The 25,980-nt window shown below is 44.1% G+C and overlaps 2 protein-coding genes across 26 annotated transcripts in view, besides 4 other annotated features; both read left to right on the forward strand.

Moving 5' to 3' along the window:
• CPSF3 (cleavage and polyadenylation specific factor 3) overlaps nucleotides 1-18,677 on the forward strand; it is a 49,448-nt gene extending 30,771 nt beyond the window's left edge. For all 6 annotated transcript variants that reach the window (NM_001321834.2, NM_001321836.2, NM_001321833.2 and 3 more), the window contains 6 exons: nucleotides 1,235-1,333; nucleotides 2,509-2,603; nucleotides 5,107-5,194; nucleotides 13,283-13,352; nucleotides 16,919-17,015; nucleotides 18,492-18,677. In NM_001321834.2, coding sequence (NP_001308763.1) covers nucleotides 1,235-1,333; nucleotides 2,509-2,603; nucleotides 5,107-5,194; nucleotides 13,283-13,352; nucleotides 16,919-17,015; nucleotides 18,492-18,593 — 551 coding nt within the window. In that variant the 3' untranslated portion in view covers nucleotides 18,594-18,677. The remainder of the gene's footprint in view (nucleotides 1-1,234; nucleotides 1,334-2,508; nucleotides 2,604-5,106; nucleotides 5,195-13,282; nucleotides 13,353-16,918; nucleotides 17,016-18,491) is intronic.
• A 710-nt stretch (nucleotides 18,678-19,387) lies between these two features.
• Nucleotides 19,388-25,980, forward strand: part of IAH1 (isoamyl acetate hydrolyzing esterase 1 (putative)) — a 38,597-nt gene continuing 32,004 nt past the window's right edge. For 8 of the 20 annotated variants that reach the window (XR_007073106.1, XR_007073105.1, XR_001738721.2 and 5 more), the window contains exons 1-3: nucleotides 20,127-20,223; nucleotides 21,563-21,615; nucleotides 23,798-23,946. Coding sequence is in view for 2 of the 20 variants with exons in the window: in NM_001039613.3 (NP_001034702.1) it covers nucleotides 20,143-20,223; nucleotides 21,563-21,615; nucleotides 23,798-23,946 (283 nt within the window). In the remaining 18 variants the exon portion in view is untranslated. Of the gene's footprint in view, nucleotides 19,476-20,126; nucleotides 20,224-20,630; nucleotides 20,794-21,562; nucleotides 21,616-23,797; nucleotides 23,947-25,980 lie in introns of those variants that run through there. The other 12 variants (XR_001738723.2, XR_001738724.2, XR_426953.4 and 9 more) reach the window with 6 other exon arrangements.
• Nucleotides 19,899-20,668: a silencer, noted in NCBI's record as "silent region_11134". NCBI's record gives its function as "represses an Ori minimal core promoter by ATAC-STARR-seq in GM12878 lymphoblastoid cells {active_cell/tissue: GM12878}" and the evidence as "EXISTENCE:reporter gene assay evidence [ECO:0000049][PMID:35858748]".
• Nucleotides 19,899-20,705: a biological region, named in NCBI's record as "H3K27ac-H3K4me1 hESC enhancer GRCh37_chr2:9614491-9615258".
• Nucleotides 19,938-20,705: an enhancer, noted in NCBI's record as "H3K27ac-H3K4me1 hESC enhancer chr2:9614491-9615258 (GRCh37/hg19 assembly coordinates)". NCBI's record gives its function as "activates a minimal SCP1, AML or CMV promoter by ChIP-STARR-seq in naive H9 embryonic stem cells {active_cell/tissue: H9 hESC(naive)}" and the evidence as "EXISTENCE:reporter gene assay evidence [ECO:0000049][PMID:30033119]".
• Nucleotides 21,186-21,746: an enhancer, noted in NCBI's record as "OCT4-NANOG hESC enhancer chr2:9615739-9616299 (GRCh37/hg19 assembly coordinates)". NCBI's record gives its function as "activates a minimal SCP1, AML or CMV promoter by ChIP-STARR-seq in naive and primed H9 embryonic stem cells {active_cell/tissue: H9 hESC(naive and primed)}" and the evidence as "EXISTENCE:reporter gene assay evidence [ECO:0000049][PMID:30033119]".

Consider the following 25,980-nt stretch of genomic DNA (forward strand, 5'->3'; position numbering starts at 1 on the left):
ATAGCAGCAGTGGTGAGGTATTTACCTGTGAGATTGCCCTGCTGTCAGTTTTCATAGCATCATAGGTCACTGTCTGACTTGTGCCTTCATTCTGAGTTAGTGAGCTCTTATACTCTTTTTTTTTTTTTTTTTTTTTGAGATGGAGTCTCACTCTGTCTCCCAGGCTGGAGTGCAGTGGCGTGCCGTCTCTGCTTACTGCAAGCTCCACCTCCCGGGTTCATGCCATTCTCCTGCCTCAGCCTCCCAAGTAGCTGGGACTACAGGCGCCTGCCACCATGCCCGGCTAATTTTTTGTATTTTTAGTAGAGACGGGGTTTCACCGTGTTAGCCAGGATGGTCTCGATCTCCTGACCTCGTGATCCACCTGCCTAGGCCTCCCAAAGTGCTGGGATTACAGGCGTGAGCCACTGCGCCGGGCCCGAGCTCTTACTCTTATGCCACATAGTCCCAGCCCTTGAAATCTGTCTAATGAGGGAAGCAGTCTTGGGAAGAGCTAATCCCAGTATTGCTCAGTGGCATATAGAAGCTCATGATACATATGTGAAGAGAAACTGTGCACCTCAGGAGCTGGAAAAAGCTTTGTAAATTAGGTAGCCCTTGTGCCAGGTGGTGAAAGATTGTTGGGAGTTACCAAGGAAAGAAGGCAGATGACAGCTGGCATACCAGCTCTGTGGCATCCAAGAACCTGGTATGTTTGGGGACATGAGGTGCTTTTTTTTTTTTTTTTTCTGAGATGAAGTCTTGCTCTGTTGCCCAGGCTAGAGTGCAGTGGCACGATCTCGGCTCACTTCTGCCTCTGCCTCCTGGGTTCAAGCAATTCTCTGCCTCAGCCTCCCGAGTAGCTAGGACTACAGGCATGCGCTACCACGCCTAGCTAATTTTTGTATTTGTAGTAGAGACGGTGTTTCACAATCTTGGCCAGGCTGGTCTTGAACTCCTGATCTCGTGATCCACCTGCCTCGGCTTCCCAAAGTGCTGGGATTACAGGCATGAGCCACCGCGCCTGGCCATAAGGTGCTTTCTTACAGCTGGAGCAGAAGTTAACTGAAGGGGAGAGGTAGGGACATAGGGAGATCAGTGGGGAAATGTAAGGTGGTACCAAATTAAGGAGCATCTTGTTAGCTTTCTGAAAAACATGTTCACATTTACTTGCTTTTATTTCTTTTTTCTTTGCTCCTGGTATGTGTTTTGTAGGACTAGTATTTCTTCAAGTCTCTTCTCATTTTCTCTTCAGATTATACTGACCTGGCCATGAGCACGGTGAAGCAGACCCAAGCCATTCCATATACTGGTCCCTTTAATTTGCTCTGTTACCAGCTGCAGAAATTGACAGGTGTGTGTGTGTACTGAAATTCATTTCATTGTTTTCTGTCTTTTAGTAAGATAATTTTCTATCTAGAAAAGAATGTTACTTAATTTTGATAATTGTCTCAGAATTGTGTAAGTTTTATAAATATGTGTGATCATGTTATTATTGCCTTTATGTGAAATTTTAGAATATACACTCATATTCTTGCCTGACGGTCCTGGGAAAAAAATAAAAACTTAAAAAAAATTAAAAAAGAAAATATACTCAAATTTTTTTTAATTCCATAATACTTATCTTTGACCCAATTAAAATTTAGTAGTCTTTGTTCCTTATGTTTGAAATCTATTTTCCTTGACCATACCTAAAATTTTATCTGTTTCTTTTCTTTGATCAGTGAAAATAATTTTTCTGGTTCTATTGATACCAGTCTATACAGCAGGTTTTATAAGAGTTCATGACCACTGGCCAAAGGCCAGTGAGAAAATAAACCTAGTCTGCTTTCATTATTAGACCATTTGAGTTCGAGATTTTGTATATTAACATCATGAGGGGCCGTGACTAAATTAAAAGGTGTAGACTTTCTGATAGAGCAAGAATACTTCATATTACAAAATACATTTTCCATCAGTAACGCTCTTCATGACTCATGAAGTACCACCATAAAATAAACCAGTAGAAAGAATCTTTTTTTTAAACCTTGGAACCTTGCACTAGGATAATCTGTCATAACATAGAAGGTTAATAAAATATGTCTGAACTGTCCTTGATTAAGAGGATGCTAGAAAGACCAGAAAAGTCTCTTCAACAATAGAATTCCGCTGTAGAATGTTGACGCTTACGAAGACAGAAGGTAGATGAAACTAGCTGGCAACAATTGACAAATTTTATGTTATATGTTAAGATGCTAGTGGAAGGCTAAATCTCTTGTATACAAAAGATAGATGTTTGAGCATCACTTAAGTTTGCCACTGATAAAATGTTTGATGTCCAGGGTAAATGCTATCTAGTTGAATGTTTGCAATACATGTTCAGACCTTTCCGTTGCTGTACTTTGCTGTTTAAAAATTGACTATACAAATGAGTTACTAACTTTTTAATTGTGTAGCTGCTTTATTTTAGCTGTCTCTATAAACAAACGAATGGTCTCTGGAAGATTATCAGAAAAGTATATACATCTTATAGTTATGTCTTTCTTTCAGGTGATGTGGAAGAATTAGAAATTCAAGAAAAACCTGCTCTGAAAGTGTTCAAAAATATTACTGTAATACAAGAACCAGGCATGGTGGTATTAGAAGTAAGAAAAGATCATTTACCTAAACAATGAGGGGAAAAAAGTTTTAAAAAGAGTTCATGAACAATTGTAGAGAAAATTAGTTTCTTCCCAATTAGAAAAAGAATATTGTTGGAAAGTATATGTGTGTGTGTGTGTGTGTGTGTGTGTGTGTGTGTGTGTGTGTGGTTTTAAGGATCAGCATTAAGTATAATTAAGTAGCTGAGCATTTTCTATGTAGTCACAAAAAAACCTAATAATAAATTAAGGGTTCTTATTTAGTATGTGTGATAAATATAGTCCTTTCCTATAAGTCTTACCTGATTTTGTGGTACTCCAGGATGTCTTTAGTTATATCAGAAGGTTTTACAATTCTTAAGGTAAAAATTTAATTCTGTTAAATTAAAACAAACTTAGGTACCACTCGTTAAAAGAGCAGAATTTTGAAGATTCAAATAAACAACAATAAAGTGACCCAAATCTGGAAAGGATAGAAATTATTAAATTAAGTGATATGGTTCCTATTAGAATTTTAAACTCCACCTTGTGGAGTTTGGAAGACAGATACCAAAGGAATTACATGGTTGATTTTGATAGATTGGCACCTATTAAGTTTAAAGAAGGACTTTCAAAGTGAGTCCTATCATTGAATAGTCCAGGGAGGTACCTTGTCTACTGCTATGCCCCAAGGTAGAATTGTATATAAATTGCCAAGGTAGATGGTGAACTATTTCATTCATACATTCTAATTTTTTTTTTCTTTTTTTGAGACAGAGTCTTACTCTGTCACCCAGGCTGGAGTGCAGTGGGGTGATCTCAGCTCACTGCAACCTCCACCTCCTAGGTTCAAACGATTCTTCTGCCTCAGCCTCCTGACTAGCTGGGACTATACAGGTGCATGCCACCATGCCCAGCTAATTTTTGTATTTTTAGTTAGAGATGGGGTTTCACCACATTGGCCAGGATGGTCTTGAACTCCTGACCTCAAGTGATCCACCCGCCTCGCATACATTCTATTTTTAAAACAAAAAAGATTTGTCAGCTTTGGTCCCGATGCAATTCTGTGATTTAAGTCTAAATTTGATTCATAAGGCTAAAAGCAACTAAAGAAAGTGTCAGGCCAGGCCCAGTGGCTCACAGCTGTAATCCCAGCACTTTGGGAGGCCAAGGCAGGTGAATCACCTGAGATCAGGAGTTCGAGACCACCCTAGCCAACATGGTGAAAACCCGTCTCTACTAAAAATACAAAAATTAGCCAGACGTGGTGGCAGGCACCTAAAATCCCAACTACTTGGAAGGCTGAGGCAGGAGAATCACTTGCATCTGGGAAACAGAGGTTGCAGTGAGCCAGGATCACGCCACTGCACTCCAACCTGAGTGACAGAGCGAGACGCTGTCTCAAAAGAAAAAAAAGAAAGAAAGTGAAAAGGAGTAGTTATCTATAAACATGAAGTTACATAGAACAATATATAAAATGTTAATATCAGAAAAAGGGGGAAGTTATTGGAGACATTAATTTAGCTCATTCTACCAAATACTATTAGAGGCTGTGTATGATGGCTCACACCTGTAATCCTAGCACCTTGGGAGGCCAAGGTGGGCAGATCACTTGAACCCAGGAGTTCAAGACCAGCCTGGGTAATACAGCAAGACCCTGCCTCTATAATTCATTCATTCATTCATTCATTCATTTATACTTACATAGTAGATAATATATTTTTGTTCCTAGGGTAAACATGTCAGAGATTGTACCCTAGGAACAAAAGCCAGGGGATCTGAGGCTTAGTGTGAGAAGCAAAAGTAAATATTTAAAAATATTACCCTCTTGGCCGGGCGCGGTGGCTCATGCCTGTAATCCCAGCACTTTGGGAGGCCGAGGTGGGCGGATCACCTGAGGTCGGGAGTTAGAGACCAGGCTGACCAACATGGAGAAACCCTGTCTCTACTAAAAATATAAAATTAGCCAGGCGTGGTGGCACATACCTGTAATCCCAGCTACTTGGGAGGCTGAGGCAGCAGAATTACTTGAACCTGGGAGGCAGAGGTTGCAGTGAGCCAAGATCACGCCATTGCACTCCAGCCTGGGCAATGGGAGCAAAATTCCATCTCAAAAAAAAAAAAAATTACCCTCTTCGCATTCTGTCTGTAGTCATATACTATACTAAATATAAGCATTAGGAATTTGAGTTCAGTCCCAGCACCAGTAATTATCCTGTGCAAGTTACTTTTAAGTCAGTTTTCTCTTTTATAAAATGAAATTAATCGTGCTGTTATGAAAATTAAATGATAATGCCTATAAAACACTGTGTCGAAAGGAAGTGCTCAGTACCATTTACTTTTGTTTACAGAAAATTAGAGGACTATAGTATTATTAATTTCAGTAAACAATGAGTCAGTTAATTTCATTGAAAATGCTAGAAGCAGTAGTTCCATATGTACAGTCCATGGTTTGGTGGGTTGTAGTTGTAGCCTTTGTGGTTGGTCACCCTAGGTAGGTCACTTCCTAATTCTGCCTTTTGCTTTCCAGTGGCTGGCAAACCCTTCTAATGATATGTATGCAGATACAGTAACAACTGTGATATTGGAAGTTCAGTCAAATCCCAAAATAAGAAAAGGTAAGAGTTCATTTTTATCCTTTTTTTTTTTTTTTTTTTTTTTTTTTTGGAGACGGATACTAGCTCTGTCATCCAGGCTGGAGTGCAGTGGCACGATCTCAGCTCACTGCATCCTCCACTTCCCAGGTTCAAGCAATTCTCCTGCCTCAGCCTCCCAAGGTGTTGGGATTATAGATGCCTGCCACCACACCCAGCTAATTTTTGTATTTTTAGTAGAGGTGGGGTTTCACTGTGTTGGTCAGGCTGGTCTTGAACTCCTGACCTCGTGATCCGCCCGCCTCAGCCTTCCAAAGTGCTGGGATTACAAGTGTGAGCCACTGCGCCCAGCCACTCATTTTTATCCTTTCTTTCATTTTTCTTATGTTTCTGTGAACTAAAAGGCAGTACATAGACTCCTAACAAACTTGATCATTTCTATGTAATCTTTAAGATATAAAATACACACAGCAATGCATGTTGTTAGTATTTTGCTTATTTTTGTCCTGGCTCTTCACTCATACTGCAAAAACCTGGCTGCAATTAAGACTAAGATAAAATCCTTTTAGAAACAGTCCTCTTAAAAATAATTGAGTCAGGCCGGGCGCACGGATCACAAGGTCAGGAGATCGAGACCATCCTGGCTAACACGGTGAAACCTCGTCTCTACTAAAAATACAAAAAATTAGCTGGGCATGGTGGCGGGCACCTGTAGTCCCAGCTACTCGGGAGGCTGAGGCAGGAGAATGGCGTGAACACAGGAGGCAGAGTTTGCAGTGAGCCGAGATCACGCCACTGCACTCCAGCCTGGGCGACAGAGCAAGACTCCGTCTCAAAAATAAATAAATAAAAAATAATAAAAATAATTGAGTCAGAAATTTCAAAATATTGATGAATTGAGCCAGTAGATTAGGAAGATATGCTACTATCTTCATGTTTAATAAAATTTGTTGAATAGAATTGAATCTCCCTATGGGACAATTTGCAACCAGAGAAAACAGTGAAGATATTTTTGTGTTACTTCTTTGATTCTATTTTATACTTAAGTCAGCATAATATATGTCTTTTTTTTCTTTCTTTCTTTCTTTTTTTTTTTTTTTGAGACAAAGTCTTGCTTTGTTGCCCAGGCTGCTCTCAAATGCCTGGGGCTCAAATGATCCTCTCACGTCAGCCTCCTGAGTGGCTGAGACTACAGGCATAAGCCACTGTACCCAGCTCTTTACATGTTTTGAGCTGTGAGTCTCCGGCATATGGAGTAGTCCTGTGTGCTGTGCTGGGGGAAGTGACCATACGGGAAGTATTCTGGGAAGCCTCAGCCTTTACCCTTCACACACCATTAGATCCTGGACTCTCAGAGAATATTATTGTTCCTTGAAAATATACAGTTAGTTAGTTCTTTGATTTCATGAGAAAAAAGTTGAGCAGACTACTTTGTAATTCATTTCTTATGCTGCATCTATAATACAAACAAATAAATACTTAGACAATCTAAATCTGTTATTCATTTGAGTCACTGGTAAGCATTTGAATTTGCTTTCAGTAATTGTAAAAATGATCATTTGGACATCATTTGATAACTTGTTTTAGTTGAATTAACTCATGGGAAATGGCTCCTCCCATGTGCATGTAACACAGGAGACAGCTGTGCATATATATAAGCCACAACGCATTTATATAAGCCACAGAAGAATGCCGCAAGATTCTTACATGATGCTCAGTGTCACAGTCTTAATCCTGGGGTAGAAACATATTGACAGAAAAAATGCAATTGTCAATTTTCTCTTACAGTTGGGCACGGTGGCTCACACTTGTAATCCTAGCACTTTGGGAGACTGAGGTGGGTGGATCCCTTAAGGTCAGGAGTCTGAGACCAGCCTGGCCAACATGGTGAAACCCCATCTTTTCTAAAAATGCAAAAAAAATTAGCCAGGGGTGCTGGCAGGTGCCTGTAATCCCAGCCAGCTATTCAGGAGGCTGAGGGGCGAAAATTGCTTGAAACCGGGGGGCGGAGGTTGCAGTGAACAGAGATCACACCACTGCATTTCAGCCTGGGTGACAGAGCAATACTCCATCTCAAAAAAAAAAATTGTTTTTGTCTTACTTATCTTAGGTGGTAAAAATAAAGGTGTGCAGGGTGGGAAGGAGGATCTTTTTTTTTTTTTTTTTTTTTTTTAAATTTATCTAGAGATGGAGTCTCTGCTCTGTCGCCCAGGCTGGAGTACAGTGGCACCATCTCGGCTCACTGCAACCTCTGCCTCCCGGGTTCAAGCGATTCTCCTGCCTCAGCCTCCTGAGTAGCTGGGATTAGAGGCGTGTGCCACCATGCCCGGCTAATTTTTGTATTTTTAGTAGGGACGGGGTTTCTCCATGTTGGTCGGGCTGGTCTCAAACTCCTGACCTCGTGATCCGCCTGTGTTGACCTCCCAAGGTGCTGGGATTACAGGCTTCAGCCACCGTGCCGGGCCTAGGAGGATCTTTTAAAAGATCATGAGTAAGTAGTGGTACAGAAGTTAGGAACGGTGACGTGGGGAAGAGGGTTAGGTGCGGAGAGCAGAATCACGCCCAGGGCTTTGGGCCACGCAGCTTTCAGCTGTAAGGCCCCCATCCTTCTAAGAGCACAGCTGGCCTTCACTTCCTATCTTAGTCTGTTCAGTTCAAATCAAATGCCACCAGGGTTGCTTTCTCTTCACTATATTTCTGATAGCCCTTTTATAAAATGAAGTCTTTTTTGTAATATAGTCAACTAATTAGAAATTGATATACTTTTCTGAAAAATGAAGTTTCTATGCAAAAATGGCACTTTTTTAGGCCGGTTAGGATGTTGTGTGACTACAAGGTCTTTGGTGATGTTTAGTGTCTGAGCTCTGCCAGCCTGTTTTCCATGTGGCAGAGGAGGGATCACAGAGATGTTGTCAGGATGTCATCTGCTGTTCTGATGAGGGCTCTGCCTAGCGGTGATGCTGAAAAACAAGAGGTGCTGTGGTATGACAGATAATCTCCACATAGCTCGTGTGTGTTTTATACGGGAAGGAATACATGACCTGTCATAGGTTGGTTTGCCTTTATCTTGATTATTTCTCTTAATGCTCCGGTCCAAAATGAAATGTACCTTTACTCTGATCTGCAGTAATTGAATTTAAATTAATTATCACTATATTATTAGTAATCCCTCTTATGCTAATAATAAAAACATTCCTTCCTTTGGTTAGCCTGTGGCCATTTCAGCAGAGGTTCATTGCAGACAGGTTAGAACTGGGCTGTTTCCGTGTGTTCCGTGTATTTAGCATTTGTTCAGCTGGCTGGGTGCCTTGTGTTTCTTAGTTCTTCCCCATTTTGTAGTTTATGGAGAATGAGGTTTTATATTCCTCTGGGATGATGAAGTGTTTGCATATTTTCATTAACATTCATTTGACAGATGTTTACTGAGCACCTGCTCCCCAGCAGGCATGCCTCAAAGTGCTTAGGAAACATCAGTGAACAAAGCAAACAGATCTGCCCCCTCCAAGGATCTGACATTCTGGCATGTCCCAGGGCTTCCTGATAGGGTTTGGAGTTGGGCAGATCCCATAGGGTCTTGTTGGCTATTGTAAGGACCTCAGACTTTCAGTGTGAGTAAAATGAGGCTATGCTGCAGAGCTTTGAGCGGGGCTGAGACAGGATCTGACGGAGTTTTTAAAGGACTGCCGTGGTGCTTGCTGAAAGTACTGTTAGGAGGGCAAGCAAGAAAGCAGAGGCTCCAGCTGGGAGCTTCTTCAGTCATCCAGGTGGCAGACAGTGGCTCAGATTAGGGTGGAAGTCATGGGGATATCGCAAAGTGCTGGATTCTGGAGGTGTTCTAATAAAGCCAGCAGTATTTCCTGTTGGATTAGCTGTAAGTGGTGACAGAAAGAGAACAGACAGGATGAACTTTAAGATAATGATCCAGGGTATGTATGTGATATGTCAGCATGGACAGTTGTCACTCGTGGGGCTAAGTGACAGGTTTTAATAAGTAGCACTTGCTCCTTTCAAAGGTGACAAGTATTGCAAGAACTGGTACATGTGACACTTATGCTGCTCATGAGGAAGTTGATTCTGTATATTTATTATTTATCGAACTGACTTCTTCCTATCCAAACTTGGGATTTTCACATTTAGAGCAGAGTCAGCGACTGTGGCCCACAAGCCACACCTAGCCCGCCTGCTTTGGTAAGTATAGTGTTACCGAAACACAGCCGTGCGCACTGGTTCATCATCTCTGATGCCTCTTTCCTGCTACAGCAGCAGAACTGAGTCATTGCAACAGCGACCCTGTGGTTTACAAAGCCTAGAATGCCATCTGGCCATTTACAGAAAAAGTTGCCCTCTTCTCAAGGCACCTCTGTGAAACAATCCGATTCTTCCTTGATGGCATTTTTCTCCCTTTTCATTTCTTAGCCTCCTGACACTTCAGTCCAGATTCTGGAAACACAACTTGTATTTGTATCTGTGGTGTATGTGTGTGTGTGTGTGTGTGTGTCTAACCAACCACAATTTATGTGTCCCCATTCTTAACCAAAGGGGAAATCTTATATATTTTCAAAATACATTATTTTGTTTTTATATTCCATAACATTCTTCTATTTTACATGGCACCTGTTTTCAGCATGTGTGTGTCCTGTTTTGACACACAGACCTACTAAGGACAGGTATACCTGTCTGATTGTATAGTTCTGTGTTTAATATGATCTCGTGTCTGATGAGTTTGTCTAAATATTAATGCAGGAATTTGCAAATATATATATACATATATATACACACGTAAACTTTGGAAAGTTTCTTTTGATAGTTTCATAGCCTAGATATTTATTTTGTAATATATTTTGTGAGATTGTTTTTACATGTCAATTAAGTGCTTATTTTAGTAATTAATGAAACTAATGATTATAATTAAAGTATAAAATTCTGTTATATAGTTTTCTTGGCTAGCACCTGGTTAGTTTTTTGTTTTTGTGTTTTTTTAATATTTTTATTTTTATTTTACTTTATTTTATTTTTTGAGACAGGGTCTCACTGTGTCGCAGACTTGAGTACAGTGGTGCAATCTCAGCTCACTGCAGCCTCGACCTCCTGGGCTCAAGTGGTCCTCCCACCTCAGCCCCCACAAGTAGCTGGGACTATAGACGCACATCACCACGCCTGGCTAATTTTTCTATTTTTATAGAGACAGGGTTTCACCATGTGGCCTAGGCTAGTCTCAAATGCCTGAGCTCAAGAGATCTGCCCACCTTGGCCTCCCAGAGTGCTAGGATTCCAGGTGTGAGCCACTGCACCTGGGCTTACTATTTTTTTTTAATGGAGATGGGGTCTTGCTATGTTGCCAAGGCTGGTCTCCAACTCCTGGGCTCAAGCAGTCTTCCCTTCTCAGCCTCCCAAAGTGCTGGGATTACAGGCGAGTAGTTAGTTGTATATACAATTGAAATTCACGAATTAAAAAGAATTAGATGAAGTATGGTTTGAATTCTAGAATAGTTTAGGAGAAATGACAAGTTGAGTCTTTTCCGTAGAGTAGATTGAAATAGGTATGTGGGAGTGCAGAAGTGAGTTAATAAAGCTACACTTACATGATACAATATTTTAAAAAGTCATAGTGTTACATGAGAAAGTAATTACTTGGGCTGGGAAATTGAAAGTGCATTGAAGAAATCATAATTTTTGAAGTCTCTTTGAAATGACAGAGTCTTAGCCAGGCACGGTAGCACACACGTACAGGCCTAGCTACTTGAGAGGCTGAGATGAGAGGATCACTTGAGCCCAGGAGTTCAAGGTTACAGTGAGCTATGATTGCACCACCGCACTCCAGCCTGGGCAACAGAGCGAGACATTGTTTCTAAGGGAAAAAAAGAAGAAAGAAATTACAGTCTTATATTATATTTTCCTGTTTATAGGTGAGGCCATAAGATTATTTCTGGTATTTTCCCCCATATCATACACACACACACACACACACACGCGCGCGCGTTTATATATAAAAAATATATAAAAGAGGAAATTGGTTATGTATATTTATTATTTATCAAACTGACTTCTTCCCATCCAAACTTGAGATTTTCACATTTGGGCCAGCCCAGCTTTCAACTCTTAAGGCCCCCCATCCTTCTAAGAGCTCAGCTGGCCTTCACTTCCTATCTTAGTCTGTTCAATCCCAATCAAATGCCACCAAGGTTGCCTTCTCTTCATTATATTCTGATAGCCCTTTTGTAAAGTGAAGTCTGTTATGAACATGAAATGAAATGATGACAATATCCATATATATGGGGTGTGTGTGTGTGTGTTGTCTGAAGGATTTTAAAATTCTGCACTACTCTTTGTAACAGCATTATTGATACATAATTCACATACCATACAATTCATCCATATAAAGTGTAGAATTCAATGATTTTTTAGCATATTCAGAGTTGTACAACCATCACCACAATCAACTTTAAAACATTTACATCACACCAGGCCAGACATGGTGGCTCACACCTGTAATCCCAGCACTTTGGGAGGCACAGGGGAGCAGATTGCTTGAACCCAGGAGTTTGAGACCAACTTGGGCAACATGCTAAAACCCTGTCTCTACACGCACACACACACGCGCTCACACACACACGCGCACACACGCACGCACACACACACGTGCGCGCACGCACGCGCACACACGCACACAAAGACGCACGCACACACGTGCGCACACAGACGCATGCACACGCACACTGACGCACGCACACAGACGCACGCACACACGCGCGCGCGCGCACACACACACGCACACACCCACGCACTCGCACACACGCGCACACACACGCACGCGCACACACGCACACGCGCACACACGCGCACACACACAAAATTAGCTGGGCATGGTGATGCATGCATGTAGTCCCAGCTACCTGGGAGGCTGAGGTGAGAGGATCACCAGAGCACAGAGGTGAAGGCTACAGTGAGCCGTGATCATACCACTACAGTCCATCCTGGGCAACAGTGCAAGACCCTGTCTCTAAATAAATAAATAAATAAATGCACACCTCCGAAAAGGAACCCCATATCCCTTACGTATGATGCCCCAATCTCTATATTCTCACCAACTCAAAGCAACCACTAATCTACTTCCTGCCTCCCTGGATTTGCCTGTTCTCAGCGTTTCAGATAAATGGAATCATACAATATATAGCCTTTGATGACTGGTTTCCTTCACTATGCTGTGTTCAAGTTTCATCCGTGTTGTCACATAAATTGGTACTTCCTTCCTTTTTATGGCCAAATAATTTCCCATTGTATGGACACAACACATTTTGTTTATCCATTCATCTGTTAATGGATACTTCGGTTGTTTCTATTTTATGGGTTTTATGAATAGTGCTACCGTGGAGATTTGGATGTAAGTTTTTCTGCAGACATATGTTTTCATTTCTCTTGGATCTGTACCTAGGAGTAGAATTACTAGGTCAAATGCTCACTGTTTAACTTTCTGAGGAAGTGCCAGACTGTGAGCTCTGCACTCTTTTGCTACTGTTGATGCACTGAGTTGTTGAATGAGGGGTCAGAGCATGCCTGAAACTCCAGATTAAGGGGGGCCCATTTTCCCAAGCTGTCAGATTTGTTTTGGAAGGAAAGCTGAGTAATTTAATGGGCAAGTCATTTTAAATATTAATTTTTATTAAAATAATTATATCTAATAGAAAGCTAAATTTATATCACATTTTAGATAAAAGACTTCACAGATCTTTGAGCTTGAATATGTCCCTAGAATTCCTGGAGTTAATTGCCCGTGGTCATAAATGTAAAGTTTAAGAAATGTGGGAAATAAAACTAAAAATAATATTAAGTGTCATTTTGTGGTTCTTTAATAAGAACATGAAATATTGGAGAAAGGGTGAAAAGATGTAATAGAAAATTTTTTTTAAATACACATAAAAAGAACATGAAATTAAATGATGAAAATATCCATTTCCTTTAGCAGGCAAATAATACAAATCCCTGCTTGTCACTTTAAGGATTCCATAGTTATTCACTTTAACTTATCAGTAACCAGATTCTGATTATTGATTTGGAAATTATTCTGAATAGGAATTTAGAAACTGAACTCTCTGTCGCTTTTTTTTTTCCCAGGTGCAGTACAGAAGGTTTCTAAAAAATTAGAAATGCACGTTTACAGCAAGAGGTTGGAGATCATGCTCCAGTAAGTTTTTCACCCATTATTTCTCAACAAGACAGTGACAGCGGCCGGAAGGAGCCCTGGATTCGGCTCTGACTCCTTCAAGGACTGGGGCGTGGCTCTGGCCAGGCCACTGCCATGCTCGGAGGCCTGCTTCTCTGTTAGGAAAGAGAGGGGCTGGAACCGTTCCCTGCCAGCTCTGCACTCACCTGTGACCTGCTAGGTCAGCCGTTTGTGTTTCATTTAATACAGTGCTTCAGGATGCTGGCACAGGGCTGGCACAGTTAGCAAGCGTTAAAACATTCTCATCAAGGACAAGTTCAAAAATCTTAGCTGAATGTTACTGTATCTTCAAGAATTATTTTATATATTTACTTGTTAAATGTGAATTCTTTGTAAAATGGTGTTCTTCTAGACTCTTCTTAGTCTGTAAGCGATGAATTAACTTTAAACTAAGTATTTCTTTTTATTTTATTTTATTTTATTTCTATTTTTGGGAGATAGAGTCTTGCTCCATTGCCCAGACTGGAATACAGTGGCATGATCTTGGCTCATTGCAGCCTTGACTCCCAGGCTCGAGCAATCCGCCTCAGCCTCCCAAGTAGCTGGGATCACAGGCTCGCAACACCATGCCCAGCTAATTTTATTTTTCTGGAGAGACAGGGACTTCCTATGTTGCCCAGGCTGGTCTCAAATTCCTGGGCTCAAGGGATCCTCCTGCCTTGGCTTCCCAAAATGCTGGAATTACAGATGTGAGCCCTTGCCCCATGAAACGGTTTAACAAAGTAAGGTGGCCTGCTAGTTTAGAAGGCTTTTATGCTAACATTTCTGTTCCTTCCTTTCTTTCCCCAAAATTCTACACTGACCTTTTTTTTTTTTTTTTTTTTTTTTTGAGACGGAGTCTCACTCTGTCGCCCAGGCTGGAGTGCAGTGGCACAATCTCAGCTCACTGCAACCTCCACCTCTCGGGTTCAAGCGATTCTCCTGCCTCAACCTCCCGAGCAAGTGGGACTATAGGCGCATGCCCACCACACCCAGCTAATTTTTGTATTTTTAGTAGGGACAGGGTTTCACCATATTGGCCAGGCTGGTCACGAACTCCTGACCTCATGAGCCACCTGCCTTGGTCTCCCAAAGTGCTGGGATTAGAGGTGTGAACCCCCGTGCCCGGCCCACTAAAGCAGCAGTTTAGTGGCTTTAAAAAAAAATGATAGACTTTAAATGATGACTTTGTTTATAGAAGTTGTCATACATCTTCAAAACAGTATTCTCTGTGTTGTCATTTTGATTTTAAAGAGCATTCCTCATACAAAACCAGCCAACAGTGCAGGCACAGTGATTACCATGGCCGTTGAAAAGGCCAGAGATTTTACTGGTTCCCACCCCTGGAGCCTCTGGTTCTCTTAACTCATTTTGCAGAGGGCTCAAGTCTGCCAGCGTTGAAGTCTGAGTATCTTAATCATTTTTAGATCCTTCACCCCTTTGGCAGTCAGGTAAGGCTGTGGGGCGGGGGCAGGGGACACACATATATGCAGTTTTACCTTTGATTTCAAGGAGGTTAGACAACCCCCTCCCCACAGGCTATCCTGGGACCCCCGGTTAAACAGCCCTATTGTAGAAGGTGGGTGTTGCTGACCAGGGACTTGACTACAATAGTTCTGTTGGCGGCCCTGTTCCCTGGGGCTCTACAAGAATAGAAAACCCGTGTGGCCCTGGACTGGCCCCGCTCTCCCACGTGCTGCAGTCGGGGTGCAGAATGGAAGTTCACATTGCTGTGGCTGGTCCTCAGGAGCCGTGGGGAGGGCAGTCTGCGGGAGGCTGCGGCCCTTCCACTGGACTTTCACTCTGGCCTTCTTCCCTGTCCTCCTGACACCACTCCTCCCGCCTCCCCTCCCTCTCCCTCACCTCCCACAAACACACCAGAACTATTCAACTCTGAGGAACAGGAGTATGAGACAGCTTCCATTCGGCCAGGAATGGGAGGTTCCCATGTCCTTAAACTTCAAAGCCAATCGTACCCTTAAAAATGCAGCTATTTCCCCAGTTGTTTAAACACTTAGGATTAGATAGGAGTAGATGTATTGGTTTCTTCAGAGAAGCCAACAGTGGATCACATGAAAATGGAACCTTTTTTCCTATCCTTTTGAATACATTTCTGTGTTTAAAATATAATTTTTTTGGCTGGGTGTGGTGACCCACACCTGTAATCCCAGCACTTTGGGAAGCCAAGGCAGGTGGATCACTTGAGGTTAGGGGTTCGAGACCAGCCTGGCCAACATGGCAAAACCCCATCCAAAATACCCCTACTAAAAATACAAAAATGAGCCAGGTGTGGTGGTGGGTGCTTGTAATCCCAACTACTCAGGAGGCTGAGGGAGGAGAATTGCTTAAACCAGGAGGCAGAGGTTGCAGTGGGCCGAGATCGGGACACTGCACTCCAGCCTGGGCAACAAGCAAGACTCCGTCTCAAAATAAATAAATAAAATAAAATATAATCTTTTCCTTTGTGCTAGGGTCCCACCTAAGTTTATTCACACATATGATGAGCAGTAACTGCCTGAAGATGCAAGGAGTTGATTCCCACTCCCCACTTCCCCCGCTTAATACAGTGTTGTCAGTGCTTAACTGTCCTAGGCTGACCATGGTCCATGGGTTGTTTAGAGTCACTGCCTGCCTTTCTTACCTGCATTCAGCCTGCTGGTGGACTGCTGTTTCCTAACACCTCTGTACCAATGGGGACGATGTTGAAATTAACCATCAAAACTGTTTCTCTCGATGACAGAGGCAATGTCTTAGTGCCTTCTTTATCCCCAGCTACTAGCACAGAAGGAATCTGCCACACAGAAGATGCTCAATAAATACCAAGTTTAATTAAAGTAGGAGTGCACAGCTAGTGGGCTTGGGAGCCATTTAAACCTAGATACCTGGATTTGAATGCCGGCTCAGCTGTTTACTAGCTGTGAGGCTTTAAGCAAATCACTTAACTTCTGTGTCTTGTTTTCTTCACATGTAAAAGGGGATCCTTACTAAAATTATAGGTTAAGATAATGTATATAAACCACCTAGCATGATGCCTGCTGAATAGATCATTCTTGAATAAAGCTGTGTATTTTCCCTGTTTTATAAACTTAATAAGCTGTATCAAGGCAAATAAGAAGCTTGTCTCAAAAGTAAATACAGGCTGGGCATGGTGACTCCTGCCTGTAATCCCAACACTTTGGGAGGCCAAGGCAGGTGGATCACTTGAGGCTAGGAGTTCAAGACCAGCCTGGCCAACATGGTGAAACCCTGACTCTACTAAAAATACAAAAATTAGCTGGCTGTGGTGGTGCACACCTGTAATCCCAGCTACTAGGGAGGCTGAGGCAGGAGAATCACTTGAATCCGGGAGGCGGAGGTTGTAGTGAGCCAAGATTGTGCCACTGCGCTCCAGCCTGGGCCACAGAGCAAGACTCCATCTCAAAAAAAAAAAGAAAAAAAGTAAATACAGTATTCTGCTTTAGAACTAGGACCTATCTTCAGTTTTATTTTTTCCTCAAATATATAAAGCCGGGCATTTTCACTAATCCTGCATTTCTGCTTATTTTCAGGGACATATTTGGAGAAGACTGTGTAAGTGTAAAGGATGACTCTATTCTTAGCGTCACAGTGGACGGGAAAACTGCCAACCTTAACTTGGAGACACGGGTATGTAGCTGCTCTTTCCTACGTTTCAAGACATTTGGGAAATAAAGTGAAGGCATAAATAATCTGTGCTCTCACACTCAACAGTCTACTGTTGCATATTGGCATTTGCTTCCAGTGTTTCCAACATTTTTTTCACATTGTTCTTTTTATATTATTATGGTTGAAGTTTTCCGTGTTTTTCCGGGTTACTGCATAGTACAAGGTTCGCGTGTATGCCACTCCATTGCTGTCCTCTTCCATAATACAGCTTAGTTCACCTCATCCCTTCTCTAGTTTGGCATCTAGTTGACTCTCCATTTTTTAAAGAAGCCGCTCTTCTGTTTGCACCAGCAAGATCCAAGTGGATTTTCCAAACAGTTCAAAACCAGCCCGGGCAACACAGTTAAACCCCATCTCTACTAAAAAATACAAAAAAAATTAGCCGGGAATGGCGGCAGCTGCCTGTAGTCCCAGCTACTCAGGAGGCTGAGGCAGGAGAATTGCTTGAAACAGGGAGGCAGAGGTTGCAGTGAGCCAAGATCACATTACTGCACTCCAGCCTGGATGATAGAGCGAGACTCTGTCTCCAAAAAAAAAAAAAAAAAGAACTAGAGGCCAGGCGTGGTGGTTCACGCCTGTAATCCCAACACTTTGGGAGGTCAAGGTGGGTGGATCATCTGAGGTCAAGAGTTTGAGACCAGCCTGGCCAACATGATGAAACCCCATCTCTACTAAAAATACAAAAATTACCCAGGCGTGGTGGTGTGCCTGTAATCCCAGCTACTTGGGAGGCTAAGGCAGGAGAACCCAGGAATCACCTTAACCCAAGAGACAGAGGTTGCAGTGAGCTGAGATCACATCACTGCACTCCAGCCTGGGCGACAGAGCGAGATTCTGTCTCAAAAAAAAAAAAAAAAAGAAGCAACTAGAAGATTATTAGTGAGTTTCAGTCAAATTCAGTACCAAATGTTGAGTAGATAGCCACATCCATTCCTTGCCAAGTAATTTGTGTGGCATAGATGAACTTCCCTGGAGTATCATTTACTAGATCAAACTGTGGGCTTTGATGTAAATGTAGTTTACTAGACTTTCCCCAGTCTTTCACCCCAGCCTCAAGTCATCACTAATTAGGACCGTGCTGCTGTCAGGAAGCACTGCACGCCCACAAGTGTGTAGGGCGGCCGTTCTGTTTCATGGTAATCAGTCCCACCATGACCTCTGCACACACAGATGATTGTTCTTTTTTTTAGTTTGAGACCCGGTCTCGCAGTGCCGCCCAGGCTGGAGTGCAGTGGTGCAGTCACAGCTCACTGCAGCCTCAACCTTCCCGGCTCAGTGATCCTCCCACCTCAGACTCTTATCTGGGACCACAGGCACACGCCACCACAGCTGGCTAATTTTTTATGAGATGATGGTTTTTTTAAAGAGTATTCATTTATCTTCTATATAATCATTATAGACTTAATTCTAACAGTCTTGTTTGTGCCTCACTTTCAGACTGTAGAATGTGAAGAGGGAAGTGAAGACGATGAATCCCTCCGAGAAATGGTGGAGCTGGCTGCACAGAGACTGTACGAGGCCCTGACGCCAGTTCACTGAGACTGTGCCTGTATATGAACTTTGAAAAAATACTTGACTCTACTTTTGTTACCTAAAATAAAATGCATTCGTTTCTCTGGGGGAGCCTGTTTACTTTTAATGTCAAATGGCCTTTATTTCAACAGCCTGAATACTGCTAAATTGCTAATTAATTTGTCCATTATTCTAGAACTAACTACTAGATCAACTGCCCATTATTTTAGAATTTTGGATTCTTCTTCCAGGCATGTATGTGCAGCTCCCATTGAAACCATCAAGATCTGCCGATAGCAACCGCTGCTGGTTACCCTCTCCTCTGGGGTAACCAATTTGAGTTAATAATAAGGATTCTAAGTTGCACTTGAATCTTTTCTGTCTTCATCTCCACTGCTGCTGTTCGAGTCCAAGTCTACTCTCCCCTCTGAATTCCTGCAACCACCTCCATCTCCTCCCCTATAGCTGATTCCTGGAACAGACCTGGCCTCAAGCCTCTGCTGCTTGAAGGCCTTAATGAAGTCCTTGTGATAAAGATGAAGTCCAGGCACCTTTGCTTGCTCTAGCAGGGGCTCTCAATCTGGGCTACCCGTGGGAATCACGTGGGGTGCATCACAAGTGCACCTGTGCCCAAGTCCTGCCACCAGGAGGTGAGTTAGTCCGGCTGGAATGAGGGCCCTAGGTTGGATCTTAGTTGTAAAGCTCCCCCAGGTGATCCAAGCGAGCTTGGGACGAGCAACCTAAAGAAAGTCATGCTCTACGCCCATCGCCCCGCCCCAGGGAGCGGGGTCGGCCTCTGCGCCGGCGCCCCTGGCCCTTCTGTTACTCATCTACAGCTCCGTGATTTCAAGGCATCCTTCCCACCCGTTCGTTTTTAGCTCGGCTGCCGAACTTCATTGCACAGTTGAGGTAAGAACGTTGCATTACAACCACGTTTTAACAGGTGAATCCCTTGGAAGTTAGTCAGTGCTCCGTGTCCGCGGGGTTCTGCATCTGCGCATCCACCCCACGGCGGGAAAAAGAAAAGCGGCCGGCTGCGCGCGCACTGAAGGTGCAGCTGCTTTCCCTTGTCATTCGCAGAACCACGAGGTACTGCCAGGGTTTCCGCAGTGCCTGCGTCCTCGTGGGTGTTACAGGCCCTCCAGAGTGACGCTGGGCGCAGGAGGCCGCGCGCGCATCCCACGACCTCTTCCAGGGGGGCCTGGAGCAGCCCTCCGCCCCACCGAGAGCCAGCTGTGCTTCCCGCCGCGCGTCCTGAGGTCACACTCCTGCCCTTTGCCGAACGCACCTGCGCCCGCGGAGCGCGGGGTGGGCTTAGAAGGGCCCCCAACCGCTTTTCTTCCGGGAACCACGCAGCGGGACGCGGGCTCCGGACTCCCTGGGGGCAGCCTTGCTGTGGGTGAGCAAGCGCGGAGGCCGAGCTTCTTGCAAACGGACTCCAAGGGGCAACGACCTTCGCGCGTCACCAAAGTGACTGCGTGGGTGCCCACGAGCCCGGCTCCCGCAACCCACGGGCGGCCACTGCGCAGGCGCCTCTCGTGGCTGGCGGCCCCGCCCCGCCCCGCCCGGCTGCTCCATGGCGCTGTGCGAGGCCGCGGGCTGCGGGAGTGCCCTGCTCTGGCCTCGCTTGTTGCTCTTCGGGGACTCCATCACCCAGGTACGGCCGCCCCGACGCTCGGCCTCCCGCCCCGGCCTCCCTGCGGGGTCGCTGCCGAGCAGGCCGAGGCTCCTCGCCGTCCTCTTCGGCGCCCGAGACGGCTGGGCCGGAGGCCTGGCCACGCCCGTGGAGACACCGGAGGAGTGGCGGGTCCCCCAGTGGCTGCGCCTTCCGGGCCCGCGGCGTCCCGGAGGTCACGACGGCGTCCGCGAGAGCCCGGGCTCCAGGCACAGACGCGAGGGGACCCGGCCGCGCTGCCCGCCCCGCGCCGCCTCCCACCCGGGTCGAGATGCGCGGTCTTCCCCTCAGCGCCCTCCTGGGCAGCGGCCTTTCCCCTCCGGGTCCGGGTTAGCGGCCGCGGGCGACCGCGCGCTGTGTCCCAGGAGGCCCCGCGGCCAGCTCCGGGCAGAGGCGCCAGGAGCTCTCTCGCCCCATTCCCTGCGGGCACAGGTGGGGCCGTTAGGGGTTGACCTTGGAAGTAAAACGCCTTCAGGAATTAGGTAGAAAAGGACCATCCGTTCATCCAAGATCATCTCACCTCCCATGAAGGGAACGGTCTTCTAAATGCAGGTTCTTACTTCGGGGAGGGAGTAGAAATTCCATTCCTGTGTGTGTCCTCTTCTCAGACAGGACTTGCTTCACCAGGCTTTTGTGTATACGCCAGTAACTGGTAACATTATGTTTAGGCATATGGGGCAGTCAGAGCTGCCGAATTCCATGGGAATGTGTATGAAAAAGTGTTCACCCTCAGCTCGGTAACCAGCAAAGCAGTGAGGCGGTGTGGCCTTCATTTCCTCACTGACCTTTGACTTTATTTCCTGAACTTAGATTTCTGTTTAGCTTTTTTTTTTTTTTCTTTTTTTCTTTTTTTGAGACGGAGTCTCGCTCTGTCGCCCAGACTGGAGTGCAGTAGCGCGATCTCGGCTCACTGCAAGCTCCGCCTCCCGGATTCAAGCGTTTCTCCTGCCTCAGCCTCCCGAGTAGCTGGGATTATAGACGTGCGCCACCACACCGGGCTAATTTTTGTAATTTTAGTAGAGACGGGGTTTCGCCATGTTGACCAGGCTGGTCTCGAACTCGAGACCTCATGTGATCCGCCCGCCTTGGCCTCCCAAAGTGCTGGGAATACAGGCTGTTTAGCTTTTGATAGAGAAAAATCCCCCTCTGCTAAAGTGCTGCCAGGTGTACTTACCTGTAATCCCCAAAATGACCTCCTGGAGTGAAGCAATCAAAGCCAAGAAGGGAGCGCCGAGAAAACAGAAGTTGCCAATCAGAACTGCCCTCGCTGAGATGCCCGGTTACAGTCATTAGTAGTAATAATGGGCTTTTCTTCCTCCAGTTTTCCTTCCAGCAGGGTGGATGGGGAGCATCGCTGGCTGACAGGCTGGTCAGGTGAGAATGGTTTCCGATACTTGAGTTCTTATGGATGGAAAATGTCTTAGGGATCCGTCTTATGGATGAAGGATAGTTCTGAACAGAACATTCCTCCTTTATTAATTTTGCTTGCCTCCCCTAATCAGTATATAGGAGAAGGAACAGAAAACATTTACTCTTCACTCAGTCTGACCAATTAGATATTTTAGGGTTGAGCACTGATGGCTGGGTAGACTCAGACAAATCAAGGAAATGGCCAAGGCCTCTTCCCTAGTCAGGGGCAGACAGATCCAAGTCCAGCTGCTATGACTGCAGAACTTGCAGTTTCACTGCTACACCACACTGGTAGGAAGCTACTTTGCCTTTTTTTGAAGTGCTGCCATGACTTAAGACTCACCTTGTCACAATTCTACCGCACTTTGTTTTGGTTTTTGGTGGTTTTTGTTTTGCGACAGGGTCTCTTGTTAGGCGCGTCCACGTGAAGAGACCACCAAACAGGCTTTGTGTGAGCAACAAGGCTGTTTATTCACTTGGGTGCAAGTGGGCTGAGTCTGAAAAGAGCAAAGGGAGATGGGTAGGGCAGTACTATAGGATTTGGGTAGGTAGTGGAAAATTACAGTTAAAGGTGGTTATCTATTGTTAGCAGGGGAAGGGGGTCACAAGGTGCTCTGTGGGGAGCTCCTGAGACTCATTGTCCAGGGGAGGAATGCCACAAGGTCGATTGATTAGTTAGGGTGGGGCAGGAACAAATCACAATGGTGGAATGTCATCAGTTAAGGCAGGAACTGGCTGTTTCACTCCTTTTGTGGTTCTTCAGTTGCTCCAGGCCACCTGGATGTATACGTGCAGGTAACAGGTTATGACGGCTTAGCTTGGGCTCAGAGGCCTGACAACTCTGTCACACAGGCTTGAGTGCAGCAGTGTGATCAGGGCTCACTGCAGCCTCCACCTCTGGGGCTGAAGGCATCATCACCTCAGCCTCCTGAGTAGCTGGGACCAACAGGCACTCGCTACCACACCCAGCCCAGCACTTCATTAAAGTATTGTGATTTCACTCTGTAAAATGGCTAGTCGCATTTTATAATCATTACACACACAAACAATCTCTTAGAAATAAGGCTGAGTTTCGGTGGTGGTTCTGCAGTTTATAAATGCCACCTGAGAACTTTGAGCAGTGTCAGAAAGTGTCCCCTTGTGCTGCTTTGGAGCCGCTGCCTGACGCTGTGGCCTGCAGTTCTCCGCGGGTGCCCCAGCTTCTCTGCTTGGTTATGCATGTATGGGAATGTGAATACAGCAAAATGAACCATATTGATTTACTAATCATAAGTTGAACCCCAGGCGTCATTTTAAGAAAACTTTATGGACAACTTTAAATATCTACAGAAGCAAAGAGTGAAATGAGCCCATCCATCCCTCCTATGGATTATTCTGAAGCAAATCCCAAATCATATCATTTTACCAAGACTAAGAAAAAAAGAGTCCCTCTTATGTGACTGGTATTCTCTGAGGGGTTTCAAACCTACTGCCTGATGCGAATCCTTAACTGGGATTCTCCTCACTTTACATGTGAGGAAGGAGCACAGCGTGCCCAGGGTCACGCCTAGTCACACAGGGAGCCGAGAAACAAATCCAGGCAACCCGGCTTTTTTTTTTTTTTCCCCCATTACACCTACAGTACTGTGAATCCAACTGTTTTTAAGAAGGAAACAAAAAGTATTAACCGGTTTAAGTTGAAACACAACGAATGTATTTACTAAAACTATTTAATCAAAACCAGAAATCTCAAATATTCTATAGACTGTTTAAATATAAACCAAACTAAACTATTTAAGTTCCAGGATATTAGTGACTTTTTACCTGAGATACTTGCTCAGATTATCTATCTGTTGTGAACTCCATTTTAAAAGCACCTCACTATACCATGCTTGAAGTCAGGTAGTCTGTAGACTTCATCACAGCCCCTTTATATATAATTACTTCTCTCACGGAGGAGTATGGTGTATTTACCTGTATCTTTGAATGGCTTAAGATTAGCATGCTTCAGCTATGTTCTTGCTCCTATCAAAGTGAAACCTGGGGGTGGCTCAGAGACACGTGACGGGTTTAGAATCCCAGAGAGCACACCCTCACTAAAGGCCGGTTACTGCGACCATAAACACTTCTTGCCCACAATTCATCTTTTTAAAATTTTTCGTTTCAGAAAATGTGATGTTCTGAATCGTGGATTTTCAGGTTACAATACCAGGTGGGCCAAAATTATCCTTCCAAGATTAATCAGGAAAGGAAACAGTTTGGACATCCCAGTAGCAGTTACAATTTTCTTTGGGGCCAATGACAGTGCACTAAAAGGTAAAAGCATTTTTGATGTTCTTCTAGCTCACTTTTAATCATTTTTATGTTACAGCAAACTTGCATTTAATATACTTTTTTCAACTGTTTACTTTCTCCCAATAGATACAGTTTTGCCAAACTTATGTTGTTTATATGTATTCCTGGCTTTAACACTGGTGGATTTTATTCTTGACTCAGTTTCTACATACCTTGGTTGCTGGCAGTCCTAATCTTGCAAACAGTTAAATATTTTCTAGAGTCTGTTAGTGCTATGCTAAGTTTGTAATGTGTTCTCTTTAGTTGATGCATTTGGCAGCAGAAAGCTTAAGGATACCTTGTGGCTTGCATCACACTGATGGCAGCTGGTGGCGTGTCTTAGGGAGGGATATGTCAGGGCAGCAGCCACCCTGACCTCAGTTAGGCTTGAATCCTGGGCAATGGTGAACGTGGGTTTGGAAAAGGAGATGGTCTCTCCTTGACTGCTGAAGAATTGCTGCTGTGACTAGAGGAAAGCTAGCCATGTAAGAGGCCTTTCTTCCCCTTCTACTCTTGAAAAAAGCCTTCTGCGTGCTATCGACGAGAAAAATCAGCCTTTGTTTTGGGAAGTTAGGTAGTCACCTTCCAGAGATTTCTTTTGTTACCCTACTTGTGTCACAGAAGTGCTGTGGTCTGCTATTCACGGGCACACCGTAGGAGACCTCTGAGTTGAGGCTGGACATGAAGGAACACCAACTGCAGTAAGAGGAATTCTTGCTCTCTAGGAGAAAGATTACGTAGATGACAGGTATCGGTGGAGACTGCACACTAACCATTATATTTGGGAAGAAATTAATCTTCACTTTCTATCTTGTACCAAAAACCATAAGAAAACTCAAAACAGAATTTTTTAAAAAGATAAATTTTTATCAAATTTAGCATAAGGAAAAAACACTTCCTAAGTATAAGAGCAGTGGAGGAAGCCACAGAGGAAAAACAGGTTTATGAAATAAAATAGGCTGCGAAAAAACTGAAGAAGAAAATGATGTGTTAAGGAAAATATCTGCAAAATGTGGCAGACAAGAGAGTAATGTCTTTAGTGTAGAAATCAATAAGAAAAATACCAACTCCAATAGAAAATGTAGGCAAAGGACAGGAATAGATAAAAGGCGAAATTTAACAGCAAATACATATTTGAAAATGTGTGAAAACTTATCAAAAAATGCCAATTAAAACAAGGTATTTTGATTTTTTGACTCAGAAAAGCAATATGAAGCAGTAATACTTACAGCTGACACGCATGAAATAAGATTGGAACTCTTACATTCCTGGTGAGAGAATAGCTTGTGATCCTCTGGAAAGCTGTGTGGCAATATGCGCCAAGGGACGGCCCACGTGTAGAAATTCAACCTAAGGAAATATTCAGATACGCAGCCAGATGTGTGTGCGGAGATTTCTGTGTATTGCTTTTTTTTTTTTTTTTTTTTTTTTTTTTTTTTTTTGACAGTTTCACACTCTTGCCTAGGCTGGAATGAAGTGATACGGTCTCGGCTCACTGTAACCTCCACCTCCCAGGTTCAAATGATTCTCCTGCTTCAGCCTCCCGAGTAGCTGGGATTATAGGCGCTCGCCACCACGCCTGGCTAATTTTTGTATTTTTAGTAGAGACAGGGTTTCCCCATGTTGGTCAGGCTGGTCTTGAACTCCTGACCTCAGGTGATCCACCTGCCTCGGCCTCCCAAAGTGCTAGGATTTCAGGCATGAGCAACCGCACCTGGCCGTGTATTGCTATTTATATATAACAGTAGATTACAAGCTGTACAGTACGGAAACATCATGTGGTCACCCTACAACTAAATTTCATTTTTTTGCAAACTATTTATGGACACAGAAAAGCTCATAATATGTTATGTGAGCCAGGCGTGGTGGCTCATGCCTGTAATCCCAACACTGGAGGCCAGGCCAGGAGTTTGAGACCAGCCTGGGCAACAGAGTGAGACTCTGTCTCAATAACAACAAAGTTTGCCTAGTGTGGTGTTGCGTGCCTGTAGTCCCAGTACTTAGGAAGCTGAGGTG

The sequence above is a fragment of the Homo sapiens genome, chromosome 2 (genome assembly GCF_000001405.40).
Source record: "Homo sapiens chromosome 2, GRCh38.p14 Primary Assembly".
Lineage (NCBI taxonomy): Eukaryota > Metazoa > Chordata > Mammalia > Primates > Hominidae > Homo > Homo sapiens.